Source organism: Homo sapiens, chromosome 11 (genome assembly GCF_000001405.40).
Source record: "Homo sapiens chromosome 11, GRCh38.p14 Primary Assembly".
Classification (NCBI taxonomy): Eukaryota; Metazoa; Chordata; class Mammalia; order Primates; family Hominidae; genus Homo; species Homo sapiens.
In genome coordinates this window covers 116414518-116441187 of record NC_000011.10, presented here as the reverse complement: position 1 = coordinate 116441187, position 26670 = coordinate 116414518, and the positions used below count along the sequence as shown (strand labels likewise).

The 26670-nt window shown below is 48.7% G+C and overlaps 1 long non-coding RNA gene across 1 annotated transcript in view, besides 2 other annotated features; it reads left to right on the top strand.

Annotated features, from left to right (window-relative positions):
* LOC107987166 (uncharacterized) overlaps positions 1–26670 on the top strand; it is a 160015-nt gene that overhangs the window by 33038 nt on the left and 100307 nt on the right. The window lies entirely within an intron of this gene.
* Positions 15982–16276: a silencer, noted in NCBI's record as "tiled region #10278; K562 Repressive DNase unmatched - State 9:DNaseU". NCBI's record gives its function as "weakly represses a minimal TATA promoter and a strong SV40 promoter by Sharpr-MPRA in K562 cells {active_cell/tissue: K562}" and the evidence as "EXISTENCE:reporter gene assay evidence [ECO:0000049][PMID:27701403]".
* Positions 15982–16276: an enhancer, noted in NCBI's record as "tiled region #10278; HepG2 Activating DNase matched - State 5:Enh". NCBI's record gives its function as "activates a minimal TATA promoter and a strong SV40 promoter by Sharpr-MPRA in HepG2 cells {active_cell/tissue: HepG2}" and the evidence as "EXISTENCE:reporter gene assay evidence [ECO:0000049][PMID:27701403]".

Here is a 26670-nt window from a genome sequence, read left to right as displayed (position 1 = left end):
ACTGGTCTTTAGTGAGTTGCCTTTATTCCTGTGATGGCCTCTTTGATATGTCAACTTGACTAGGCTACAGTTCTCAGTTATTCAAACACTAATCTAGGTGTTGCTGTGAAGGTATTTTGTAGGTATGGGTAAAATCCATAATTAGGTAACTTTAAATTAAGGAAATTATTTTAGATAATCTGAGTAGGCCTGGTTCAATTAGTTGAAAGGCCTTAAAGGCTGGGCTGAAGCTTCTCTGAGAGAAGAAAAAATTCTGCCTGTGAACTGCAGCCTCAGCCCATACCCAGGAGTTCTGGGCTGCCCTTCCTGATAGTCTGTCCTACAGATTTCAGACTTGCCTAGCCAGACATCACTTATATATTATTATAGGACAATTCCTTGCAACATATCTTTTAATGTATATCTCCTACTGGCTCTGCTGCTTTAGTTGAACTGTGACAAATGTAGATTTTGGTACCAAGAGTGGGGTGAATACATTTTCATTTTGCTTGTAGGTTGGAATGTGTCTTTGGGGATCAGAGAGAAGACTGGTAGGCAGAGTGATGCTCCTTTCAAGGATGTCCACGTCCTAATCACTGAGGCCTGTGAATATGTCACCTTATATAGCAAAGGGGAATCAAGCTTGCCATTGAATTAAGGCTGCTAATCAGCTGGCCTTAAAATAGGGAGATTATCCTGGGTTATTCAGATGGACCCAATATAATCACAAGGACCCTTAGAGGTAAAAGGAGGAGGCAAGAAGAGAGGGAACCAGAGAGATGGTAGTGGGAGCAGGACTCGGTCCAATGTTGCTGCTGGCTTTGAAGATAAAGGAGCTGAGGAAAGTGGACAGCTTTTGGGAGCTTCAAAAGTCCAGGGGACAAATTCTCCCCTAGAACTTGCAGAAGGGAACATAGCCCACATTTTAGTCCAGTAAAATGTATTTTGAACTGTAAGATAATAAATTTGCATTGTTTTAAGCCACCAAATTTGTGGTAATTTGCAGAGCAGCCACAGAAAGCTAATACAACCCCTAGTCTCCATCTCTTCTAGGAGTGGGTCACCAATTGCTGAGCCACTGATATGGTTTTGCTGTGTCCCCACCCAAATCTCATGTTGAATTGTAGCTCCCACAATTCCCGTGTTGTGGGAGGGACCTGGTGGGAGGTAATTGAATCATGGGGGTGCATCTTTCCTGTGCTATTCTTGTGGTAGTAAGTCTCTTCTCTTGTTTGCCACCATGTGAGATGTGCCTTTTACCTTCTGCCATGATTGTGAGGCCTCCCCAGCCACGTGGAACTGTGAGTCCATTAAACTTCTTTCTTTTGTAAATTGCCCAGACTTGGGTAGGTCTTTAGCAGCAGCGTGAAAACGGACTAATACAGCCACCAGCATGCAGACAGGGGATTTGTTCTTTCCTTGCTGTCTCACAGGTCAGCAAGCCTGCCATCCACCTTGGCCTCACCCACCCCAGCATCTTTGGTCCCAGGGCGCTCAGTGCAGCCCTCAGCAATTGATGCAGCCCCACCCCACCCCACCCCCAGAGTCTGGACAAATCTGGAAAGACCCAGAGTCTGCAGCCTGTCTGTGAGTGGCACCCTGTTCTTTACCCTCCCCCACAAGACAGTTTCCACACCAGATGCTCTGTCTATTTATAGTTTATTGATGCCCACAAGACAGTTAGAGAAATTATACAATGCTGCCTTTATAATTTTTTAAAAGTGCTTCATTCTCTCTCCAAGTTTATGAGTCCATAGGGATAGCCTAGCTTTATAACCTCATATTATTATTTTGTCAATTGGTTATCTGAGGAAAATGTTTCCTCAGCTTTATCCACTTCCTCTTTTAGAAGAATGCATCAAATACAAGTTTACAATATTCTTTGGAAGAAATATCTTCTTATACCCAGGGCCTAAAGAAAACCTGGCAACTGTCTAGAAGGAGATCAAGCAGTGGCAAAAGGCAATTTCATTTTCTTCCTTTTCGTCTTTCCTTCTTCAACCCTCCCTTCCTCCTTCCTACCCTCCCTCCCCCCCTCTCTCCTTTTTTTTCTTCCTTTTTTCCTTCGTCCCCTCCTTTAAAAAATATTGGTAAAGTTCCAACTTGGTTCCGATACTGTTGTAGGAATTGGTACTTGTATTAGTTTCCTAAGACTGCCATAACAAAGTACCACAAACCAGGTGGCTTAAAACAGCAAAAATATATTCTCTCACAGCTTTGGAGAGCAGAAGTCCAAAATCAAGGCATTGGCAAGGCCATGCTGCCTCTGAGATCTGGGTAGAATCTTTCCTTGCATCTTCTTAGCTCCTGGTGGTGGCTGGCAATCCCCAGCTGGCAGCTCTGTCACTGCAATCTCTGCCTCCACCATCACACGTCCTTCTCCTGGGTGTGTGTGTGCGCTTGAGTGGGTGTCCGTCTTTGCATTGTCTTTTCTCTGTGCAAGTCTGTGCCCAAATTTCTCTCTTCTAATAAGCATACCAATCATATTGGATTAGGGATCCACTCTACTCCAGTAAGACAACATCTTAACTTCCTATATCTGCAAAGATATAGAAATGCTGGTGGCTTGGATTAAGGGATAAGAGTGAGGCAGTAGGGAGAAATGGAAGAGGACAGGTTTGAAACCACGAAGGAGGTAGCGTACCCAGAATTTGGTGGTTAATTAGATGAGGTAAGAGAGGAGAAAAGTCAAGGGTGCCCAGGTTTCTAGCTTAGACAACTGGGCAGAAGCCAAAGCAGGAGGAGGCAGCTCCTCTCTTTCCTCTTCATTCACCCACTGTACGTCAAGCATGATACTGAACATGTACAGAGGGTATCTCATTTAATCCTCATTTCTTTCTTAGTGGCGAATAAAGAAGATGGTGGATATTACAATCAATGGTATCTTAGATTTAATAAAATATAAAATTATCCCTTTTTGCAGATAATGAAGCTGCAGTTCAGAGAGATTTATTACATAGGTTGTCTCATTTAATCCTCGTTACATAGATTGTCTCATTTAGTCCTTGCAACAACCCTATGAGGTGGTTTTATTACCCCTTCTTCACAGATAAGGAACCATCCTGGCAGAATAACAATAGTGACAGTTACGATCTATTGAGCTTCTAGCTAGGCACTGGGCAACGTGCTTTATGTATGAACCTCATAACCACCCAGCTAGGTATGTGCCCCCTCCATTAGAGAGGTTAAGAAATGCTTCCCAGGGCACATGGCTACAATCCCCCTTGGATCTCTTTGCTTCCATCACTTACAGGACAAAGCCCAGTCTCCTGGGCCTGGCACACAGGCCTCTCCAGGGCCGCCTCCAACTCTACTCATCGCTCAGTCATCTTTGCTTTGTATCTTTTGGTCCAGCAACACTGAGCCACTGATTCTGCAGAAACACTGTGGGCAGGATTAGGACTGGGAAGAGACAGATGAGGTCCCCAGAGTACAACGTTTAAGGAGGCACTCACTTATCAGGGTTGGCCCCTGAGGAAGAGAGCATCTCCTTGCCTCCCTCAGTTTCCAGCCCTGCCACATGGCTTCTCCACACTTTGGCTCTTATTTCTCCTCTCAGGAGAGTATTCTCCTTTCCCCCTTTTCAACCTCAATTTAGCTCATGCTCACCCTTCATAGTCAGCTAAGAGATGACCTCTTCGAGGAAGCCTTCCTTCCCTAACCACCTCCCACCTCTTGGGCTAGGATGAGTGTCCTTGCTTAGCACACCTATAATATCAGGTTTATGTATCTGTCATTGCACATCCACAAAAGAGGACAGTTATCTGTTGCTGTGTCTGTTTCCCCTACCAGACTATGATCCTTAAGGGCAGTCTTATTTATCTATGTGTTCCCATCAGTTAGCAAGTGCTTGCTATACAGTAGATGATTATTACATTTTTTTGTAGAATTAACTGTTACCGGCTGAACTGTGTATCTACCAAACTCATGTTGAAGTCCCAACTGCCAGTACCTTGGAATGTGACTGTGTTTGGAGACAGGGCCTTGAAAGAAGTGACTGAGGTAAAATGAGGGCTTTAGGGTGGCCCTAATCCAGTTCGACTGGTGTCCTCATAACAAGCAGAGGCAGGGTGCATTGGCTCACGCCTGTAATCCCAGTACTTTGGGAGTCCAAGGTGGGGCAGAAAAGGAGTTTGAGACCAGTCTGGCCAACATGGTGAAACCTCGTCTCTACTAAAAATACAAAAATTAGCCAGGCATGGTGGTGCACTAGTCCCAGTTACTCAGGAGGCTGAGGCAGGGAGGCAGAGGTTGTAGTGAGCCGAGATCGCACCATTGCACTCCAGCCTGGATAACAGGGTGAGACTCAGTCTCAAAACAAACAAACAAACAAACAAAAAAAACAAAAGGCGGAGATTTGGACACAGACACACACAAAGGAAAGACCATATAAAGCTGTAGGGAAACAATGGCCACTTAGAAGCGAAGGAGAGAGGCCTCCAAAGAGATCGACCCTGCTGACACCTGGAATTTTAGACTCCAGAACTGTGAGAAAATAACTTTCTGTTGTTTCAACTACTCAGCTGGTGGTATTTTGTTGTGGCAACCCTAGCAAACAAACTGACTAACCAACTAACCAACTAACAGGTCCCCAATGTCATGCACAAACCTCATGTTGCTTAGATTGTTTCTATTTATTTCTTACCAGTATCTCTCTCCCTAATTGGTCGTCAACTCTAGAGGAAAGAAATGCATATTTGTATCTCTCCCACGCAGGACTCAGCCTCTGGTTGTTCATACAGTTGTTGCTCAATATATGCTTCCAATTTCTGCATTGTTCAGAGGTGGGGATGGTTCCCGTCTGGCCACTGGGGTAGTGTTCCAGCCTTATTGCATGAAAATCTAGCCAAGCTGTGGGAGATGGTACCTGCAAGTCTCAGGAAGCCCTGACCTTGCGTCTGCCCAGGTTCTCACATTGTACTCATACAAGCGGTCAGGAAGAGGGGCAGCAGAGGCCTCAGACCCTGGACTCAACACCATCCCATCGCCTGGCAGCATGGAATATACCTGTTACAGGGGTGAGACTGTTATACCTGGGAACTTCACAGCTCACTCATTATTCACTTATTCAGAAATACTCATTGCAAACCTATTACGTGCTGCACTCTTCCAGGCACCTGGGATGTGGCAGTGAAGGAGACAGACCAGCTGTCTTTGGGCTTCCTCCTGATGCTCACGTTCCAGTGCAGTCAAGATCTTTACCACCATCGACATTCTAATAATAAACACAACTCCTACGTTCACAGAGCTTCAGAGTTTACAGAGTGTGTTGATGCTCATTAGCCTACTTGATCCTCTCCAAAACCGTGGGCAGTAAGAATTATTATTATCATCTTTCATAAATGCTCACAATGACATTTTTTTTCTCATTTTAACATCTCTGTCATCAGGTGGGTCTTGCAGGGGATGGCATGCTGTAATGAAATTGGTGGCCCTTATTTTCTTTCTTAGTGTTAAATAAAAGAATGGTAGGTCTTACAATCCATGCCTTAGATTTAATAAAATACAAAACTATCCCTGTTTTGCAGATGATGAAGCTTTAGTTCAGAGCGATTTGGTGGCTTTTTAAAGTCATATGGTTATGTTGTCTTCTGTGCAGGCGGAGGAGCCCTGAAAAAGTCAGGGCTATGCACAAAGCTGCAGTATCCCTGGCAGTGAGGCTCTCAGGGGATTCCTTTCCCAAGCACACCACAGCTGGCTGTTCTCATTTTCCTACAGGGAAAGGAAGCTCTACCCTGTCCCAGGATGAACTTCAAAGGGAGCTGTCCTTCCCTCACTCAATCCCACTCCAGGGGAGCAGCAGGAGTGTGGCTAAGACTAGAGTGGAGCATGTCTGGGATCAAAAGAGCCCCCTTCTCTCCAGAGCACCCAGGGGGCTTGCGTGAGCTCCATTTCTGGTCTGGTTTGAGTGATCAGTTGACAAAATACATCTGGGGTAGGAGGAGGCCTCTGTGATCAGCTGTCATCTCCTCTAAACACCTCTGATGCATTTTCTCTCTTCACAACCCACGAGGTGTCAACCCTTTGCCTGCATGATCTATAAGCAGGGAAGGCATCCTATCTGGAGACAGAGACATCAAGAGGAGGCAAAAGAGAAGGAGGCTGCTGGAGGGAAAGTGGGAACTAGAAGTTGGCATTGACTTATCTTTATCCCATGTCTGATTTTCAGAGCTGAACCCCTGACCCCAAAGCTAGTTACAGGGTGACCCCAGCAAGCACAATGAAAGCATTGCTCAGTCTCCAGCATTTTGTCCTACACACACACACACACACACACACACACACACACAGAGACACGGGTGTTTGGGTGAATCTCTTTCCTTCCTAGCGGGAACTCTCTGCCTGGTTAGCAGCAACTATAATGAGATTTGCAACTCTCTCCTCGGATTTCCCATAGATGATATGACACCTCAAGAGGTTACCTTATCCATATCCGTTCCTTCACCTCCATTTTATCTCTAGCCCATCATTGGCTCTAGAGTTCCTCCAGAAGAATTCACAAATTCCATAGTCTGGTATTCAACTCCCCTTAAAATCTAGCCCTGATCCATATCCCCAAATGTAATAAGTGGTATTCTTTAATCTGAATATCATACTCCAGCAGAATATATTTTCTGACCAGACCAGAGACATGCCATAGAACATTCTGCCTCTGTATCTTTTCTCATTTCATGCCCCTGCCAACAATGCTCCCCTCCCACTGCAGCCTTTAGAGTTCAACTCAAGTTCCACCTGCTCCCTGATGCCCCTTCCTGGGCTCAGCCTCCCACTGGCCCTGCTCATGGCCACTGCTTGCCCCTTGTGGGATGGGGAGCCACATCCTGCATGCAGAGCCAGAGCGAATCAATGAGTGAGGTGTGCTCCTTCAAGGGACCCCGAGGAGAGCCACTGCGTCCTCTTTGCTGATTCCCCCTTGATGGCATGTGCCTGTGCTGATGACTTCGGTTATGTGCTTCAATTCCTGTTCTGGAAGGGGGCTTAGAGCCTTGGCCCTTGCTTCCACCAATCCCCATTCTAGGGATGCATCCCAGTCCTTCAACATGAGCCTCCCAAGGACCACTTCCTCTCCATCTTCTTGGAACTGTCACCTGGACTAAGACTGGAGACAGCTATATACCACTGGTACCCGCTGGTACCTGCTTGTTCACCAGACTAAGCCTCCGCTGTCATTGCCTTCAGCTAGGTCAGCTTCCATAGCACCTAGCCCACTGCTGGAGCAGCAAATGCCAGCTCTCAGCCCCTTCCTACCATCCCCACCCAGCTCTCAGAGACTTGCTCTGCTCTGCCAAACCCTGAGAGCCCATGAGGCACTCTGAATGCTGCAGTTGACAGGGCTTCCTCTGCACCATTCTCTTGCATCTTAAGTGATGATTTTAGGAAGACCCTCTCATTTATCTGTGAATTACCTGGCTTATACATGTTGGGAACAATGAATACTTATTGACAGTGCAAATATTAAAATCCTCAAGAAGTCCTTGCTGCTATTTCACCTGAAGACCTCCTGTTACAATGACTCACTCCACTCTCTACTTTAGCTGCCACTTGTCCTTTTCTGTCTTGAGATTTTTCTTCCTTTCCCTCCAGTTATCCAAAATGAAATGTTAGTGGGTCAGGTGGGTTATTTCTCTAGGGCAGGAACTGAGATTTGTTTGTGTTTATGTCCCTAGAATCTAGCATGGTGCCTGCTATGGTGCCTTCTAGTAGATAACTAGAAAATAGCTGACTAAAATTGTGAAAATGAACTCAATAAACATTTCTTGAGCTCCTAAGGTGCGCGAAGCACTGTGCTAAGTATCTTAAGTTCCAGAAAAAAAAATAGCAAACAAAGTATCTTTCAGGAAACTGGGCCAGGAGAAGGCAATAATGGGTATTCCCAATTAATTGCAAATGGGTGCCACATGGGTAGAAGTTTCATTCTAGATGAAGGCTTATCAACTAGTGAGATAGAGATGGTAGTCTCAGAAGAACATGGGGTTTCTTAATGATCACTAAGACATGAACATTATATGCCCATTCTCTATGAGCATATAATTCTATTTTTGGAAACAACAAACCCTTTGCTTCCATCTTGGAGAAGCTCAAAGTCTTCACTATTGGGACTGGTAGGACTGGGTTAGGAAAAGGCCAAGAGCTCTGAGACTTGGAGGACTCCAGCTCCTGCTGGCCCCCAGAGGGACTGAGCTCCCACCTCATCGTCTTCCCTCAGGTGAGGAATGAGGGTTCTGATGGGGGAAGACAGCCTGCCAGAGGCTGCCTGAGTGGCAGCAGGCAGTCTTGTCAGCCATTATCTTGCTGGAGTAATCCTCCAACCCTCGCGGCCTCTCCATTTGATCTGCCTGAGACCGCAGGAGATAGTCAAATGCTTTTGGCTAATATCATATGCATGCATAATTAGATGGCAGCAATTACCCTCTGGGTTCCTAGCACTTGTTCCAACATCCAGGCCCTAGGCGAGGAGCTGGTGGGAGCGAGGCAGGGAGGCCTCCCCCAGCCCACCCGTCCTCTGTCAGCCTCCTGGAGAGCAGATTGGAAGCCCGGAGCCTGGGAGCACAGCCCTGTGGAGGGCCAATGACGCTCAATGAAGAGCGACAACAGGCAGGTGGTAGAGGGAGTTGAGCCGTGACAGTGTCGCTGCCAGCTCATGGGTTGGCATGCTGTTGCGGGCCGGGTGGGTTGCCATGGGCATGGGGGATGAAGACTCATGGGCAGCCCTTGTCTCAGAGAGGAAGCCAAGAGAAGGTTTGAGAGTTCTCAGAGCAGTGATGGGGCTGATGAGACGCCATCTGCCCCGCCCCTGGCACTGGGTTCTTCCACCTCCTCACTGTTGGCACTCCCTGTGGGTGCCAATGACACAGGCATATGCTTGGCCAGGTCTGGCTGACATTTTCCTGAGGCTGGTGCTCAGACTTCTTGGCTGGGAAGTGGAGATCGAGGGAATCGATGTGGCCTGGGAGGTGGGTCTTCGGGTGCAGAGGAGGCTGAAGAGAGTGGACAAGCATGGACCCCAAACCTTCAGATATTTCATTCTCTCACATCCTTTGCTTGGGGAGGGTCCTGGCAGCAGCAGGGTTGGCACTGTCCCTTCAGCATGCACTACCTGCTGTGCCTGCAGTTCAATCAGTCATTCATGTGCACGTCCAGCAGGTTCTGGCTGGCAGAGGGGAGGCAGCATGGGGGCAAAGATCATCCTCTCAAGGGATTTGGAGTGGGTGGGGCTGGATTTAAAACCCAGCTCTGCATTTCCCAGCAGAATGACTGAGGTCAAGCTCCCTAACCAATCTGTTACTCCTTCAGCAAAATGGAGTTGTGAAGGGGTGCCTGGCACATAGGAGATACTCAGAATATGTCAGTTGGATTTTTCTTTCCCTCTAGGTAAGGCTGAACGTGTCAGGGAGTCTGCACTCTCTACAGTTTCTGTTCTTTCCTGATTGGCAAAGGGGTAAAGTGAGCCTGGAGAAGGTGGGTAGGGTGGGATGGGGGCAGTGCTCTAGGACCAGCTGTTTGGCAACAGGAGCTGTGTGTGCTCCATCTTGGTTGAAAAACCTCCCTGCACATCCAATGCCCTATTCTCTGCTACCTGTTCCAAGGCAGAACCTGGGCTCCTTCTTGTGCATATATGTTTGTCTGTCCTGGCACCCAGGACTTGGTCTTGTTTGTATCACACTTGCATTGCAATATGATCTCTTGCACAATTCCTGGCAAATATAATTTTAAGAAATGTTTGTTGAGTGACTAATTGTGGCCTAATTCAGGTCACCTCAGTATAGACCCACCTTGGGCTGTCAGGAGCAGATTAAGGGAAAATGGGAAGAAACCAAGAAGAGGATATCTGAAACCCAGAGATATCTGAAGCCCAACGTCTCACAGTAGAAAGAGCATGAATTTTGGATTCACCTGGCCAGGGCTTCGAACCTAGATCTGCCATGTAACAGCTGTGTGTTGTGTGATCTTGGAGGCAGTTACTTAATCACTCTGAACCTCAGTGACTGCATTACTAAGATTGATAATGATCACAGGGTTATTATGAGCATTAAATAAACAAACAATATAGTTTGCCACACAGGAGATGCTCCATAAGACGGTGGCCATAGTGATTGTAATTGAAGATATGAACTGAGACCTCTGCCTTCAAAGATCTATCAAACCTCAATTCTTTGATGTTTGGAGACATGGACCTCCGCTGTGATTTTTTTTGAGCTCCTTCACTTATCTTTCATGCTTCTGATGCCCCACTCCCAGGCCTGTCTCTATCTTCTCTTTCACTGGTCTCCATGCCATCTGATCATGTCTGGCCTTTGCAGGTTTTGTAGACTTACTGAAGATTTAGGCGTGGCAGGAATCAAAGAGATGGTTCCATTCAGTTATTGAAACCCAACCTCTGGCCATCTGGCCAGCTCTTTCTCTCTCTCTTTTCTCTCTTTTCTGCCCTCTTCAGAGTACCAAGCTGTTGCTAGCCCTTGCCTTATATAGAATAGTTCTATTCACTTCTAGAATTCTTGTGGGACTAATCTTTCATAACAACTCTTAGGATGTTTGTCTTCAGGATAATTCTGGAGAATGAAGAGCTCCTCATCTGACTATTTCATGATTACCTGACTCAGCCACATGGCTGGCTCCTGGTGAGGGCTGTGAGATACCTCATTTATAGGTTTCAAAAAGACCTGGGATGATGTCGGCTTTATTCATGTTGGTGTCAGTAGCTACAGTGAGCTGGGCATGGCACAGCAGTGGCGGGGGCGGGGGGTCAGGAATTAGCGCAGGAAGTCAGGTAGGTATTCACATTGTGGGTAAAGTTGGTCCATCTAGGGATGCTGCCAGGAGATAGGAGTTCCAGGGAAGAGCACCGAAACTATTGGACACTATCAGCAGGAGTTGGCAAGGGCTAGGCAGGGGTACACTAGGGCTCCAGACAAGCAGGGCAGGGCCCTATTACCAAAGGGAACTGGAGGGGTAGGCAAGAAACCTAGCCTGGGGACCAAGTCTTCAACTGAGCTTGGCCCATTTGAACCAGAAAAATAGTTCGTTGCATTTGAACGTGTGTATTTCTTGCACACGTGTGAGTCTGTGGGGTTGCATTCCGACATTCTCATGATTTGAAGCTCTGCATGGTCATATGATTCCTTCTGAAGGATATCTGGTAGATACTCCCTACCTGAATTTTTTTTATTTTTATTTTTTGAGATGAAGTCTCGCTGTTGTCCCCCAGGCTGGAGTGCGATGGCGCCATCTCAGCTCACTGCAACCTCCGCCTCCTGGGTTCAAGTGATTCTCCTGCCTTGGCCCCCTGTGTAGCTGGGATTACAGGTGCCTGCCACCATGTCTGGCTAATTTTTGTATTTTTAGTTAAATGGGGTTTCACCATGTTGTCCAGGCTAGTCTCGAACTCCTGACCTCAGGTGATCCACCCGCCTCGGCCTCCCAAAGTGCTGGGATTACAGGCGTGAGCCACCGTGCCAGACCAGTTTTTTGTTTGTTTGTTTGTTTGAGACAGATTCTTGCTCTATCACCTAGGCTGGAGAGCAGTGGTGCCATCTCGGCTCATTGCAACCTCCGCCTCCCGGGTTCAAGAGATTCTCCTGCCTCAGCCTTCCAAGTAGCTGGGATTACAGGTACACACCACCACGCCTGGCTAATTTTTGTATTTTTAGTAAAGATGGGGTTTCACCATGTTGGCCAGGCTGGTCTCGAACGCCCGACCTCAAGTGATCTGCCCGCCTCAGCCTTCCAAAGTGCTGGATTGCAGACGTGAGCCACTGCGCCCGGCCTCCCTACCTTAATTATACAGCCAAGAGGTAGGTTCTAGACAGAACTCAGGAGTTAGAAGGCAGGTCTTAGGTAGGTTGGAGGGTAACTCCATCTCTCTTGCTTGGATATGAACTTCCAGCATCCTGGATGAGCTGGGGAAAGCTTGCCTCTGGCAAGGGAGGCAAGCTGGGGATCCACCCTGGTGGGGAGGCAACTTATGAGGGCTCCAAGTTGAACGTGAGCCAACTGTAGGTCTTAAACCTGATGATGATCTGATTTTGTATTACTCTGTTTTCTCTTTTGTTTCTTCTGGGCATTTAGTAAGGTTTTATTGAAACATTGCAGTTTGATCTCAGTTACACTGTGAGGAAGAAAGAAAATGGTCCCACACTTGGGACAGCAGGGTAAAGTGGGGGAGCATCCTGAACTCTGGGCCTCAGTCATTTCCAAAGGTAAGGGCAACCCAGTGTGCCATGGGATCCAGCTTCTCTTTCACCTAGAGTTCTCTCCATTGGAAGCTGTGGAGGATGCATTTTCCTTTGCTGAGGATGATGGCCATTTCTTAACCTTTGGTGGACTCAGTCCGTAACTCAGGGTCTGGGGGATTCTGGGCACAATATTTATGAGTCTATGGCAGTTTGACCTAACGAATTCAGACCCGTCCCTTTGTGGACTGAGGCCTTAAAGCTCTCTGTGCTCACCGAGCTCCATCTTCAGAAACTGGAGTGGGGGCTGGGGGTGGCAGAGGCCACAGGAGCGGCCCCCATCTTCTCCCTGGCCACTCACCTTCAGTTCCCCGCATGGACTGGCAGCCTGCCCTTCTCTGGGTTCTGGGTCTGTGCTCTCCGCCTGCACTGAGGGGCCTCAGAAAGGTCCTTCTCTTATCTCCCTGCCAGCAACATGCCCCAGAGGCCCACACCAGCCCAGCCTGAGCTGGCCTTGAGTGTCAGGGGGCCAAAGCAATGACCTCTGCAGTGTGGAGCCCTTTTCCAAATAATTCATCACCACTCTGCATCCAATTAGGGAAAGCAGGCTGGATGAGACAATGGCCCAAACCCCTTGTTAAGTAACATCCCTAATTGATGACAGGGATGGTGAGCAGGGGTTTGGAAGCCAGCTCAGATTGTGTTTTTAAAATCCTCCTTTCTCCCGGGCTGCCTGCCAGAACTCAATGGCGTGGCCCTCCAGGAGAACAAAGGGAGCTTTGAAAATCTTTCTCCCCGTCCTTCAAATGCTTATCTGAAAAGACATCTTTTTCCCCTTAGTCGCTACAATCATAAAAGCACAGGTGATAAACCGCTTCTTCGTAATCATCAGTTGTGAAATCTCCCCCCACCCCTCTAAATAAAAAGCAGGAATTGCAGCAGCGGCAGCAGCAGTAGAAAGCAAGAGAGACCATCTCAGTGCCCATTCTGATGCCTATCGAGGCTCCAGGAAGGGAGCGGGAGAGGGGGATGAACTTTGTTCAGTGACAACTTTTATCTCTGGGTCTCGGGCTGTTGAAATGTCAAGCCAGGGCTGGATAGGATCTCCTAACAGCAGCTGCTGCCTAGCTCTGGGGGATAGAGGGCTGGTGGTGGGTGGGAGGAGAACCTGGAAGTGAATTGAACACGTCTTGAATTCTTGCAGCTAGAGTTCAGGTCTTGGTGGGACTTTGCTCCTAGAGAGGAAAGCCGAGGCTGTAGGGAGGGGCCTTGAGAGCCTGGTTTTGCAATGACCTTGAGAAGCTCTCTCTGAAAGGACAGGGGCTAGGCCATTTCAGAGGAGACGACTCTGTCCAGCTTTTAGGCTCCCAAGCTATGACATTGTAGAATTGAGGGATAGTTAGGCCTGGGGTTTAGATAGGATTCTAGATCCCTGGGCCCTCACATTAGCTCAAGGTGAGATCTTTCTCCTTCAGAGGCCATGCCCTGATCCCTCCACTTAGTTCATATCACTCTGCTGTCATTCTTCCTTGTAATGCCAACACCACCAAAGACCATTTACAGCACTGTAAGCTCAGCTTAATTCAGGAACATTTCAGATTTTTAAAGCTGGAGGAGATGATTTCTGAGCTGGCCATTTTATTTTTATTTTTTATTTATTTTATTTTTTTGAGACAGAGTCTCACTCTGTCACCCAGACTGGAGTACAGTGGCATGATCTTGGCTCACTGCAACCTCCGCCTCCCAGGCTCAAGTGATTCTCCCACCTCAGCCTCCCGAGTAGCTGGGACTACAGGTGTGTACCGCAATGCCTGGCTACTTTTTGTATTTTTTATAGAGACAGGGTTTCATCATGTTGCCCAGGCTGGTCTCAAACTCCTGAGCTCAAGGGATCTGCCTGCCTCAGCCTCCCAAAGTGCTGAGATTACAGGTGTGTGAGCCACCATGCCTGGCCTTATTTTTTTCAAAAATTCACATAGCACCCACTGTGAAGTAGCTACTGGTCCAAATGCATGCTTATTAACTCATTTTATCCTCATGACAATTGAATGAAACGAGAGGAAATTGAGGTACAGAGAGGTTAAGTCATTTACCTAAGATCACACAGCAATTGGCAGAATCAGAATTCAGACCCAGGAACACTGGACCAAAAGCTTGTATTCTTAACTGCTACTCTGTGCTGGCTTTTGCTATGTTATGCTGGGCATTCAAGGATGAATAGGAGTTGCCTGGGTAGGCAATGAAAAGGAGAGAGTATCTTGCTGGCAGAAGAGCAGGAGTAACGGCAAAAAGATATAAAAACCAGTTTGGAAATAGAAGAAAAGAGAACTGATTTCTGTTGAGTACCTACCTTGATTCAGGCACTGTGCAAAGCAGTTTACAGGTTTATTGTTTCATTTTCAGATTAGGCTTATGAAGTAAATAATATCATTTTCCTTTTTTACGAGTAAGGGAGTTGAGGCTCAGAGAGGTTGAATAAATTGCTCAAAGTCACATAACGACCAGGCGTGGTAGCTCACACCTGTAATCCCAGCACTTTGGGAGGCTGAGGTGGGAGGATCACTTGAGCCCAGGAGTTTGAAATCAGCTTGGGCAACATAGCAAGACCCGCCTCTCTAGAAAAATAAAAAATTAGCCTGGCATGGTGGCATGTGCCTGTGGTCCCAGCTACTTGGGAAGCTGAGGTGGGAGGATCACTTGAGCCCAGGAGGCCAAGGCTGCAGTGAGCTGTGATCACACCACTGTACTTTAGCCTGAGCAACTAGGTGATCATCTTCCATATAGAATTGATTTGATTTGAAGATGGAACCAATAAAGATTTCCTTTGACAAGGCCCAACCCCTGTGTTTTCTGAGTGTTCCATCACTCGTGTTTCCTTGTGGAGAACATGATTTGATTTTTAAGTGGTGTTCAATTTTTCTAGTGGTCTATGAATTCCATGAGGACAGGGTCGGTGTCTATGTCATTTGCCAGTGTTTCTCCAATACCCAGCATTATGCTAGGCACACTGTAGACTTGAAAATATTTATGAAATCAATGAATAGAAAATGCAAATTGAGGCCGGGCGCTGTGGCTCATGTCTGTAATCCCAGCAGTTTGGGAGGCCGAGGCGGGTGGATCACGAGGTCAGGAGATCGAGATCATCCTGGCTAACACGGAGAAACCCAGTCTCCGTGTTACAAAAAAATACAAAATACAAAATACAAAAAAATTAGCCGGGAGTGGTGGCGGGCACTTGTAGTCCCAGCTACTTGGGAGGCTGAGGCAGGAGAATGGCATGAACCCGGGAGGCAGAGCTTGCAGTGAGCCAAGATTGCGCCACTGCACTCCAGCCTGGGTGACAGAGCGAGACTCCGTCTCAAAAAAAAAAAAAAAAAAAAAGAAAATGCAAATTGTGTTGTGAACAGCTATTTAACACTTCATTTTCCCCCTATCCAATGTATATGTTATATTTTGCTAAGCCCAGGTCTCACCTAAGTGGCTGGTCTCCACATCAGTACACAGGACATCTCTGGGGTCACCATTAGATGATTAAGGGGGACTCTTACTGAAAGAGGGGAGGGCCGCGTGGAATAGCTATAGCCAGGCTGACCAATGTCTCTGTTTGCCTGGGACAGTCCAAAGTGTGCACCGTTACCCTGTCGAATAATTAACAGTGCCTCCTTCACTCTTGAAAGAGCCCCAGTTTGGAGGATAAATTGTATGAAGACCCTAGGCCAGTGACTGCCCACATAGAGGTTGCTGTGTTGCCAGCACTATGAAAGTCTGCTGGGGGAAGAGCAGATCCCAAATGAAGCCTGGTGGGTAGGAACACAAAGAAAATTCCAGCGGTAGTCTCTATTTCCCCAAACCCTCCACCTTCTCCCCTCAGGCTGGCCCTCCTTGGGATGGGATGAGCACTTCCTGCTGATGGAAGGCAGGTGGCTTAGTCAGAAGACCTGGCTACTGGCCAGCCCTGTGACCTTGGGCAATTCACTTCTGTACTCTGGGGTCCGGAATCTCTCTCTGAATGTGAAGATAAGAGGACTGGAGTTTGGTGGTTTTCTGCACGTACTCTGTGCAACCTCCTGTGTCCGTCCCCATGGGGAGGAACAAAAATAATATGTGAAACACCATGCTAGAGAATCAGATGTCTGGATGATCAAGAAGGTGGCATTTGCTGCCCAAGTTCTCAGAGCCTGCAGGGAGCAGAGGCCAGGATTGGGGCTCCTGGATAGGCAGGCTCTGCAGAGCTGGGAAAATGTGCCCATCAGGGGAGCCCCTGCACCCTCTCTATCCAGGTGGCTTCTGGACCACCTGAGTGGCTCTGTGGGGAGATGATTACAGGCCTGGGGAGGGGGAAGAATTCACTGGCTGTGAGGTCTCCAACAATAATGAAGGAATTAATGAGCCAATCAATTCATGTATTCATTTATCATGATTTTATTAAGTAAACTGGGGGGCCCAGCTTTGAACTCAAGGGGTCCCTGTCAGAGAGTGTGTCCGAGTACGTGAGCATCAGGACTCCATGCCTAATGTATCCCCTGCCCCGTCTCCCTGCTGTGCCCAGCTGGGGGACCTTGGTCTTGGGGTTGGGGCTGACAGCAGGGAAGGGCAGAGCCAGGAGTGCTGAGAGCAGGAAGGGGAAAAGTGGGCTCCAGTGCCTGCCAGGGGCTGGGAGACACGGGTGGAAGCTAACTCTTCCTCTGAGAGCCTAGTGCTTTGTGGTTGGTATCTCTCGAGGAGTAGCTACAGAAGGTAGTCCATGTTTCCACCTAACTGTGCCTTGCCCTCCCTACCTGCCTCTCCTCCTCCCCAGCTGCCAGCTTTTAAGGAGGCTCAGCCGACTCCCCTTTGCCCTCTGGAAGTCCTTTCTGGCATCTCAAGCCTGTGGAAGCTCTGGGAAGGGCCAATTCCCTTTGATGAGTGACACTCTTCCCTCCCATTTTGTCGCTTCCTCCCTTCTGATATTCCCAGGCCCCAGCTAGGGACTCCCGGGGTCCCAGCGGGTGAAGATCCTGATCTAGGAATGTCTGAGGAACAGGTAGGGGAAAGGGGACCTTATTGGTGGGATGCCACACAGACCTGAGGAATTTCGGGGACTGTGAGGAGCCTGCAGGTTGAGCCGCCCCGTGAGGACCCACCTCCTGGGTGGCCTCAGAGGGAAATTCTGCCTTCACTAAAGGACAGCAAGGGAGATCAGGGGCAGACATTGAGCTGGAGAGAGGGCAGTGGGTGAGTCTCAGATCCCTGAGGTCTAGGCCTGGTTCTGGCACAAAACTGCTGTGTGTCCTTGGCCAGATCCTCTACGGTGAAATGGGAAAGACGATGATACCAGGGTCCCCCCTTCACTAGACTTCTATGGTGCTGTGAATTACCAGTCTCGGTGCGCCTTTGCCCCTTACCCAACTGGCTTGTGTAGAACAAGGAAAGAGGAGTCTCTGGGGGCCGGTGGTGCCAGGTGCCCATGTGGCCCTAGTGGGTCAGGGACCTGGTTTTGAGTAGCTTGGGCAGCTCCTCAATGCAGCGGAGTGTCTCTGAGGAGAGGTCACTCTGATGTCCCTGGCAGCTGAGATTAACTGCTATTCTCTTAGTCAAAACGCTGGGTGCCCCTTTTCAAAAGTCCAAGAGGCTCATTTGCATGTCATTTGCATCTCATTTGAACACTAACTCATTTAATGTTCAGCAACCACTGAGATTTCTTCCAAGCCCCTGCTTCTTGTTTTCCCCAGGTTGTCTCTCCCCATCTCCCTCCCCGCCTGCATCCTGCAGCTGGTCTAGCTGGGCAGGCCTGGTCCTCATGGACTGGGCCTCACTGGGTCCAGCCTTGTCCAAGGAGCCCACCCATTGGCTGTGGGAGGGAGAAGAGCCAATGGGTACCTCACGGTGGCAGATGTCCAGCTGTTGCCAGGAGGGGTCAGCCTTCCCCTGCGCCTCCAGGACCCTTCCCAGGCCTTGGGCTCTCTAGAGCTTTCCCTTAGACGCCTGAGACTATAGCTGCTTGCAGCAACAGAGAGAGAGGGAGAGAGACAGAGAGAAGGAGAGCAGGCAGTATGTGTTAACTGAGAATGGGTTCATTATGCCCCAGGGAGAAAAAAGCAAACAATTAAAGAATTGATAGTTTTGTTTTATTTTGCAAACTGTGGGGCTCCTATGGAGGTCTGCTGGGGAAATCCTTGTGTGGGAGCTGGGGAGAGATCTTCTCTTCCAGGGAACTCCAAAGCACTGTAGGAGCTGCTGGGAGAATCAACATTGTATTAATGTGAGAGGGAAGCTCCCTCCACCCCCATTCCTCATCCCTGGCTGGGCTAGAAGCCAGTGCCATGGAAGACAAGACTGTAGACAGGCCTGAACTGCACTGTTGCAACTGCTGTCTCCTGAGTTCAAAGAGAAGCCTTATGCCCAGAGCCATACAAAATGGCTCTGGCTGAGACCCCTCTGTGTACCAGGAGCTGCTGCAGATGAGGTTAAGGGGCTTGCTCAAGGCCACACAGCTGGGACTGGAACCCACAGCTCCTGACTCTACCCCAAAGCTTGTAGAAAGTCTCCAAGAATTTAGAAACCTTGTTCCCCATCTGACTGCTCCTCTTGTCTTGCCTCTTCTAAATGGAGCAGAAGTCAGTTAAAAGAGATGATATGGTTGACTCCTGCTGGCCCTCCTGACAACTGGAGCAGGTACCAACTGTTCAGATGCTCTTCTGCACCTCCTGATATCACCTAACACCTGCTGGCCAAGTCCTATCTCTCCTCCAAAGTCCAGTGTAACTCCTCTCCTCCCTGAAGCCTCCACTGAGGTCTTAGTCCTCCCTGACAATTTGGCACTTTAAGGCACACTTCCTAAAATACAGTGTGTTGTTCATCAGGCATCATATGATTAGCAGGCTTTTATCTGACCACAAGCTCATGGAGATCAAAGTTCTATAGACTCTCTCTCTCATGTGCACATGTATACGTGCACACACACACGTGTCTCACATGCAGGAGCCAATCCTTTACAGCTCCTGGCTGACGGACCAGGGTGCCCCAGTTTCTACATGTGTGAGACCAGCAGGTGTGAGACACAAGGCTCTGTGGCTCTGTCCATTTCCACAGCGAGGTTGGCCTCCTACCTTGTGGGTGGTTTTGTTTCCTGCCTGTTCATCAAGCTGGTGATTGGGGGAGGAGACACCGGTGCAGCCTCAGACTTGCAGTGGGTAGAGGACTGAAACCCCAAGCAGCCTCCTCTGGGCTCCCTGCAACAGTCTGAGCCCTGAGAGCAGCTGTCGGGCAGAGCTCATTATGGGGGATAATGCAAGCGGAGTGACAGGGAATATCTGTTCTCTCCCCACTATTACACTTGTCGCTCACTCTCTTCCTCTCGCAGGTGAGCTAAGGGGTTTGATTGCCTGTGTGTCGAATCTCTCCATAACAACCAGGCAAACGAGACAATCTGAGTCCTCAGAGCGATTTGGCTGGAAGCGACTTCCTAGCAAACCCCAGGGATGGAAACGGGCCAGGTCCCGGTGGGTGGCTCGGTGGTATGGCCCCCTTCCCCTTCCCAACAAGAGTGCATGACAGTAAGACCACTTTCCTTTATCCCAGAGAACAAGGAGGATGCCATTACACTCAGGCAATCTTGTTGCTGAGACAGAACAGACATTGGAAATGACTTAAAATGCTCCAGAGAGCCTGGTGGCAGAATGCCCTCCGCCTCTCCCTCAAGAGGTGTTTGTATCCAGCTGGGCCTCATTGATAAAGGGCTGGGAGTGGTCAGGCTCACCTGTGGCTCAGGGGTTTTTAGAAAGATCGAAGTTAGATCTGGAAGGGCCAGGACTCCTGAGCTGGCCACACACAGAATTCCCTATGGGCTTGCTAATAACACAGAGCCTGAGCTCAGAGCTCCAATCACTTCTCTGTGGGTGAGACCCAAAAGCCTGCATCTGAACAAATCCATAGGTCAGGGCTCCCCAACCCCTGGGCCACAGACCAACCAATAGTGGCCTGTAAGAAACCCGGGCTGCACAGCAGGAGCTGAGCACACCAGGAGGGGAGTGGCGGGTGAGCAAGAGAATAAGAGAAAGCTTCATCTGTATTGACAGCCACTCCTTATTAGTCATGTTACTGCCTGAGCCCCGCCTTCTGTCAGATCAGCTGTGGCATCAGAGGCATTAGATCATCGTAGGAGCACAAACCCTATTGTGAACTGCGCATGCCAGGGATCTAGGTTGCGAGCTCCTTATGAGAATCTAATGCCTGATGATCTGTCACTGTCTCCCATCACCCTGAGATGGGACCGTCTAGTTGCAGGAAAACAAGCTCAGGACTCCCACTGATTCTACTTCATGGTGAGTTGTGTAATTATTTCATTATAGATGGCAACAACCCTCCCCCCAACAACACTCACCCTGGTAAAATCCTTTTGCCTTTGAGTAGGGATGGAACCCATGAATGTGATTTCACTTATGAATATGTTATGGCACAGATGACCTTAAGACAGAAAAATCATTGGGATGGGCCTCATCTAATTACATGAGCTGAATCAAAGCGGAGTTTTCTCCTGCTGGTGGCTGGAGGGGACGTGAGAGAGAGGCATGAGCAGAACTGATGAGCCCTTGCTGGCCCGCAGATGGAGGGAACCCCTTGACATGGGGTGAGGGCAGCCTCCACTGACAGCAGCAAGGGAATTGAGATCTCAGTCCTACAAGCACAGGAGCTGAGTTCTGAATGACCCTGGAGGGGGACTCTTCCCCAGGGCCTCCAGGGAAGGGCTCAGCCTGGCTGACACCTGGATTTCACCCTCTGAGACCCTAAGCAGAGAATTCACTGGAACATGCCCCAGCTCTGACTCATGAACTGTGAGATTAAAAATGGGTGTTGTTTTAAGCCTCTAAATGTGTGGCAATTTGTTATGCAGCAATAAAAAATGAACACACTAAATCTAACATCCAGTCTCCTGGCTTGGAATTCATCCTTAATTTCTGGCTTTACTTGGCAGACACAATCTCCTTTCTTATCACTGGGGAGCAAGTCAGCTAAGTGCTCATCCTCTTTTCTTTTCAAATCTTTCAGGCTCTCAGAGACTTCCTACACCCCGAGTGAGATCCCACCTGTGGGCTGAGGGTCCGCTACCTCTAGTTCTCATGTAACTGCAAGAGCAGTGATGACAGGTCAGGCGCTGTGGCTCGCACCCATAATCCCAGTACTTTGGGAGACCGAGGTGGGAGGATCACTTGAACTCAGGTGTTTGAGACCATCCTGGGCAACATAGACCTCATCTCTACTAAAAACAGAAAAAAGCAGTCATCTATGATGGTGTGCACCTGTAGTTCCAGGTACTTGGGAGGCGGAGACAGGAGGATTGCTTGAGCCCAGGAGATCGAGGCTGCAGTGAGCTATGATCATGCCTCTGCACTCCAGCCTGGGCTGCGGAGCAAAATCCTGTCTCAAAAAAAAAAAAAAATAAATAAATAAAAAAAGTCAAGGTGGACGGATCACTTGAGGTCAGGAATTTGAGACCAGCCTGGCTAAAATGATGAAACGCCGTCTCTACTAAAAATACAACAATTAGCCAGGCATGGTGGTGCACGCCTGTAATCCCAGCTACTCGGAAGGCTGAGGCAGGAGAATTGCTTGAACCCCAGAGGCAGAGGTTGCAGTGAGTTGAGATTGCGCCACTGCACTCAAGTGTGGGTGATGAAGCAAGACTCTGTCTTAAAAAAATAAAAACGCAGTGATGACTTGAACTTCCAGAATGATCTAGTGTAGTGGTTCTCAACTTTTTCACCCCCAACTAATGATAAGAGTGGTGATAGTGATTAGGATGGTAAGAGCAGATATGTAATGCATGCATCCTATGTACCAGACAATGAGCTAGGTGGTTTCTCTATCTTAAGTCATTTAATCTCACAGTGACCCCATGAGATGGATATTATTATGACTCCATTTTGTAGATGAAGAAACTGAGGCTTAGAGAGTTAAGAGACTTGTGTCACTTATTGTGAGTAGGTGGTTGAGCCAGGATTTGAGATTTGGTGCCAGAGCCTGTGGTCTTAGCAGACACGTAATCTCTCTCTGTACCATGTGCCCTATATTTTTAAAGATTTTGTCTGCCAAACAAACTGCATTTATCAGGAAATAATTTGTTTTCCCATTTTTTATTAATCAAAGCCATGTATGACTGCCAATCAGGGGTTCAGATCAGAGTGAGATTAGTGGTGTTATCACACTGAGTTGATATAATTCCAGCCAAAAGCAGGGAAATGATGTCTCAGTTAGTAGTCTGTGCAGCCTTATCTTTGGTAAATGTGTCATTTCTGCTAGGCATACAGAAATATTAAAATAGCTCGCAAGGCCACATTACTACTTGTGGGAACCTGTAGGGGTCTGAGGACTGAAGATTGGGACCACTGGTCTAGATCAACTGGACCCTCGTTATCTGCTCTGCTCAGGCCTCTGCGTCCCTGTGACCTGCCCAGCTACTATTACTCCTCAAAGAGATGGCTGCTTAATACCCCTTCCCCCAAACCACCACCACTGCCAGAAGCAGAGTAGATAGTGCGATACTACCCCCCAGCCCTCCTCCCATGCACACAGGCACATACACACACACATGCACGCATGCCCTTATGCAAACACACACACACACACACACACACACACACACACAGCCATGGACATCATTCTCTCTTCTAATAGTGTAGTTCAGTCTTAGTCTAGAATATCGAGCTTTCTAATCTCACCTCATCCTAGATGTACAGAGACATGAACATAAGTAAGAGAGGAGGGTTGTTCCTTACATCCTGACTAGATATAGTCTGAGTTGTTTCTCATACCATGAGTCTAGCACAGTGAGCCATTAAGTGTCATTCATTCACTCAAAATATATTTGTTTAACACCTAGGATGTGCCAGGCATTGTTAGGTACTGGGATTTAGTGCAAACAAGGGAGACAAGGCCTCTGTTCTCATGGAGCTCACAGTCTAGGAGGAAGCTGCATTAAGCAGTTATAGTTAAGTGCAATGAAGCTTTCTAGAGAGGTGCAGATTCTGGGGGCATGCAGGCTGGAGGACTATAGCCTGTAGGTGGTCTAGGGAAGATTGCCTGGAGCTGAGACCTTAGTGTAGGAGAAGTCAGGTGGGGAGAATGGATGGCGGATTGTGCAAGGTAGGGGACCCCAAGGTGGGAAGGAGCCGAGGCTGGAGGCATTGAGGCTTTGTGGGAGGAACAGTGTGACTGACTGAGACCCTGCAGTAGCATTGTGTCTGAAAGATGAGCCCTGCTTGAGGATCAGGGTTCCAGGCAGCACCAACATGGGGCACTGCTTAGGGCTGGCAGGGAGGGGTCCCTTGTTAGGGGTCAATCTTGTAGCTTGCCAATGCACATGATCACCCTTCTTCCATTCTTTCCCATCCGCCACAGGGAGCTAGTATCATATTCTGAGCCAGAAGTGGTTGTGGAAAATGACAGGAGTCTCTCTGTGGGTGGGGTGTGCCTTCTGGTGGCTCCACAACAGAACGTGCCCCTGGTGGGAAAGAGTCCTCCTGCACCTTGGAGAGAACCATATGAGCTTGAAGAAGCCGGGAGGATGGTCCAGGCAGGACTGTGGCTAGGACAGTGGACAGGCCAGCTCAGGCAGTGAAGACAGGCGGCCTCCCAGATGCACAGAAGTCAAGCTGAGCCACAGGAAGCAACAGCTGAGGGGAGGAGAGCCTCATGCCATGCAGGAAGGGAGGAGAGCCTCATGCCATGCAGGAAGGAAGGAGGCACCCTGGGCCTCCAGGTGAGCATCAGCATCATTGAGGCAGGAGAGCAGAAATACCTTGGTGGCTGGGCCGAGGTCTCCATGGGCTTCATGCAGACCTTTCAGGCTATGGCCCTGGGTTCCTCCCCTTTTCATCCTCTGAGCCTCCCCAGTTAGCCAGAATTCCAGGGGTTTCATTAGATGGTTCTCACCTGGTGTTCCCAGGTAAATGACCACCACAAGCATCTATGCACTGGGCAACAGTTGCCTAGGGGTGTGGGTGGAAGGGCCCTATGAGGGATGCCAACAGGACAGGGGAGGCCAGAGGCTGTGAGCCAGGGGCCCAGTTTGGGTGGGAGAAGTCCTCCACCTGCTCTTAACTGTGGGTGGGGGTCCAGATCTCCAGGCACAAGGGAAATGACAAGCACAAGTCCTTTTTCTGTGTCATCATAATGAAAATAAGCACCATTGGCTACATGTGTAGTCTGCTGTAAAGATGATAAGGTATTACATAGACAGGATGAAATGCAAATTTCTCTGCAAGTCTGCAAGTCCATGAAGCAGACTGAACAGGCATCAATGTTCCCATTTGACAGATGTGGCTCAAAGAAGGTAAGCAACTCACTAAAAGGCACACAGCCAGTGAGTTCAGCGAGGAAGCTGGGACCTGGTCATGCCAGTTGATGTGAGGCAGAGGCTGTTTCTGAGACCTGAGGAGACACACATTACCAACAATCAATGTCTGAGGGCTCGTGTTCGTTTCATGGGGCTGCTGTAACAAATTACCATAAACTGGGAGGCTTAAAACAGAAATCTATTCACTCACCATTCTGGAGAGCAGAAAACGGAGATCTGGGCTTCGGTGGGGATGGTTCCCCTTGGGGGTATGCCTGTCCCGGCTTCTGGTGATTGCTGCCATCTTGTTGCCTTGGCTGTGGCAGGATCACTCCATCTCTGCCTCCATCATCAGGTAGCATTCTCCTAGTGTGTGTCTGTGTCCAGATTTCCCTCTTGTTACAAGGATACCAGTCATTGGATTGGAGTGGGTCTACGTAGCCCAGTGTGACCTCATTTTAACTTGATGTGTATCTGTAAACATCCTATTTCCGAGCAAGGTCATATTCACAAGGTAGATATAAATTTTAGGAGACTTTCAACCCAGTACAGGGCTAATCAGGGCAGACTTTGTGGGGATGGAGATCTGGCCATTTAGGTGCAGGGTGGTGGCACGCCAGAGAAGAGTGGGACTGCAGGGACCCAGGGTTAACTTCACCACAGAGGCTCATGCTGTTCTCAGGAGCACAGGACAAGAGAAGGAAACTGGAAACCTACCCCCTCACTCTTGTACACACCTTGTCCAGCCCCGGTTCTGTTTTCCTGCCCCTCCCTCAACAATCCTGACTTGCATCCACAAACAAGGATGTGTTAGGATGGTTGATAATGTAATTATTATGGAACAACTCTGATTAATTGAGCACTTACTATGTGCCAGGTGCTGTACAAAGAGCTTTACATGCATATTTCATTTAACGCTCGTAATCAGTCTGTGAAATAAGACCTGTTCTTATCCTCATTTGGCACTTGAAGAAACAAAGCCTTTGGAAGGCCAAGTCATGTGCCTGAGGTCATCGATGCAGCATGTGGTGTGAATGGGATTTTAGACCAGCTCAGCAGAGAACTGGGGGCCCAAGTCCTTAGATAGCCCTGACCCCTCCACCCACCCAACCCTGACCTATGCCCTAGAGAATAGAGGGTGACCTGTGGGGACCCGGAATAGGAGGGGTAGGGAACAGGGAAACTCTAAGGGACACAAAAGGGGAATGATGAGGTGAGATTCTCCGTGCTAAAAGGCTTTGAACTATTTCTACCCAACCAAACTGGCAGCTCCCTTCTCCCCTTCCTCTGGGGCTGCCTGGAAACAGTGAGCGAAGGAAATGAGGCTTCTACCTCCCTGCTGTTTCCATGGGGCCTGGAATGGTTCCCCACCCTATTTGCAAGGCCATAAATAATCGAGATGTATTACTCAGGGATTGCCATGGTAACATCTTCAGGTTACCAGGGATGCAAGATCCAAACAAAAGTATTCGATTAAATATTTCTGGCCACTAGAGGAATCCAGCCATGTAACGCTGGGATGTGGGGAGAGGAGGCGCAGCATGAAGGGATTATTCCTTCTTTCTCCTTTCTTTTCTCAGCTTCCTCCTCAGATAATTATGGCTCTGCTGGGCGGGCCCTGTCTCCCTCCTCTCTTATTCTGGGGGCCTTTCCCTGCTCTTGTGATGGAGGGTTCCCCCTACATCCCGTATCTCTAACAGAAACAAGGATCCTGAAGCCAGCTCTAAAAGAGATGCCCTTGGCTCTCATAAACACTCCCTCTTGAAATTGGTTTAGGATTGAGTTGAATATCCAACTAAAGAGCATTCCCACATACATCATCCTTCCAAGTGGAATTAGCAGACCTGAAAGTTGGTTTCCCCCCTGACACCAGGAGCATGATATAGGCCTGGAATTATGGTAGTCGCAGAGAGGAGAAACAGCAGTGTGATTGATTTGGGTGCGGGGGCTCCTGTCCTGGTCCTGGGGGCTGGGAAGAGCGCACAGCAGGCATGATCCTCCCTGGAGCCCCGCCTGGGAATGGCTCTGCCTCCATCCAGAGCTACGCAACCACTATAAATATGTTTCTAATAACCAAGTGTGTTTGTTTAACATAAGCTTGCTCTACCCTCTAAGGTAGCCCGAGAAAGTGCCAAGTGAGGCAGAGTTTAGGAGGTGTAATTTAAAGTCGTGTTGGCAGGCCTCGGTGTACAGCCAGGGAGAGGATAA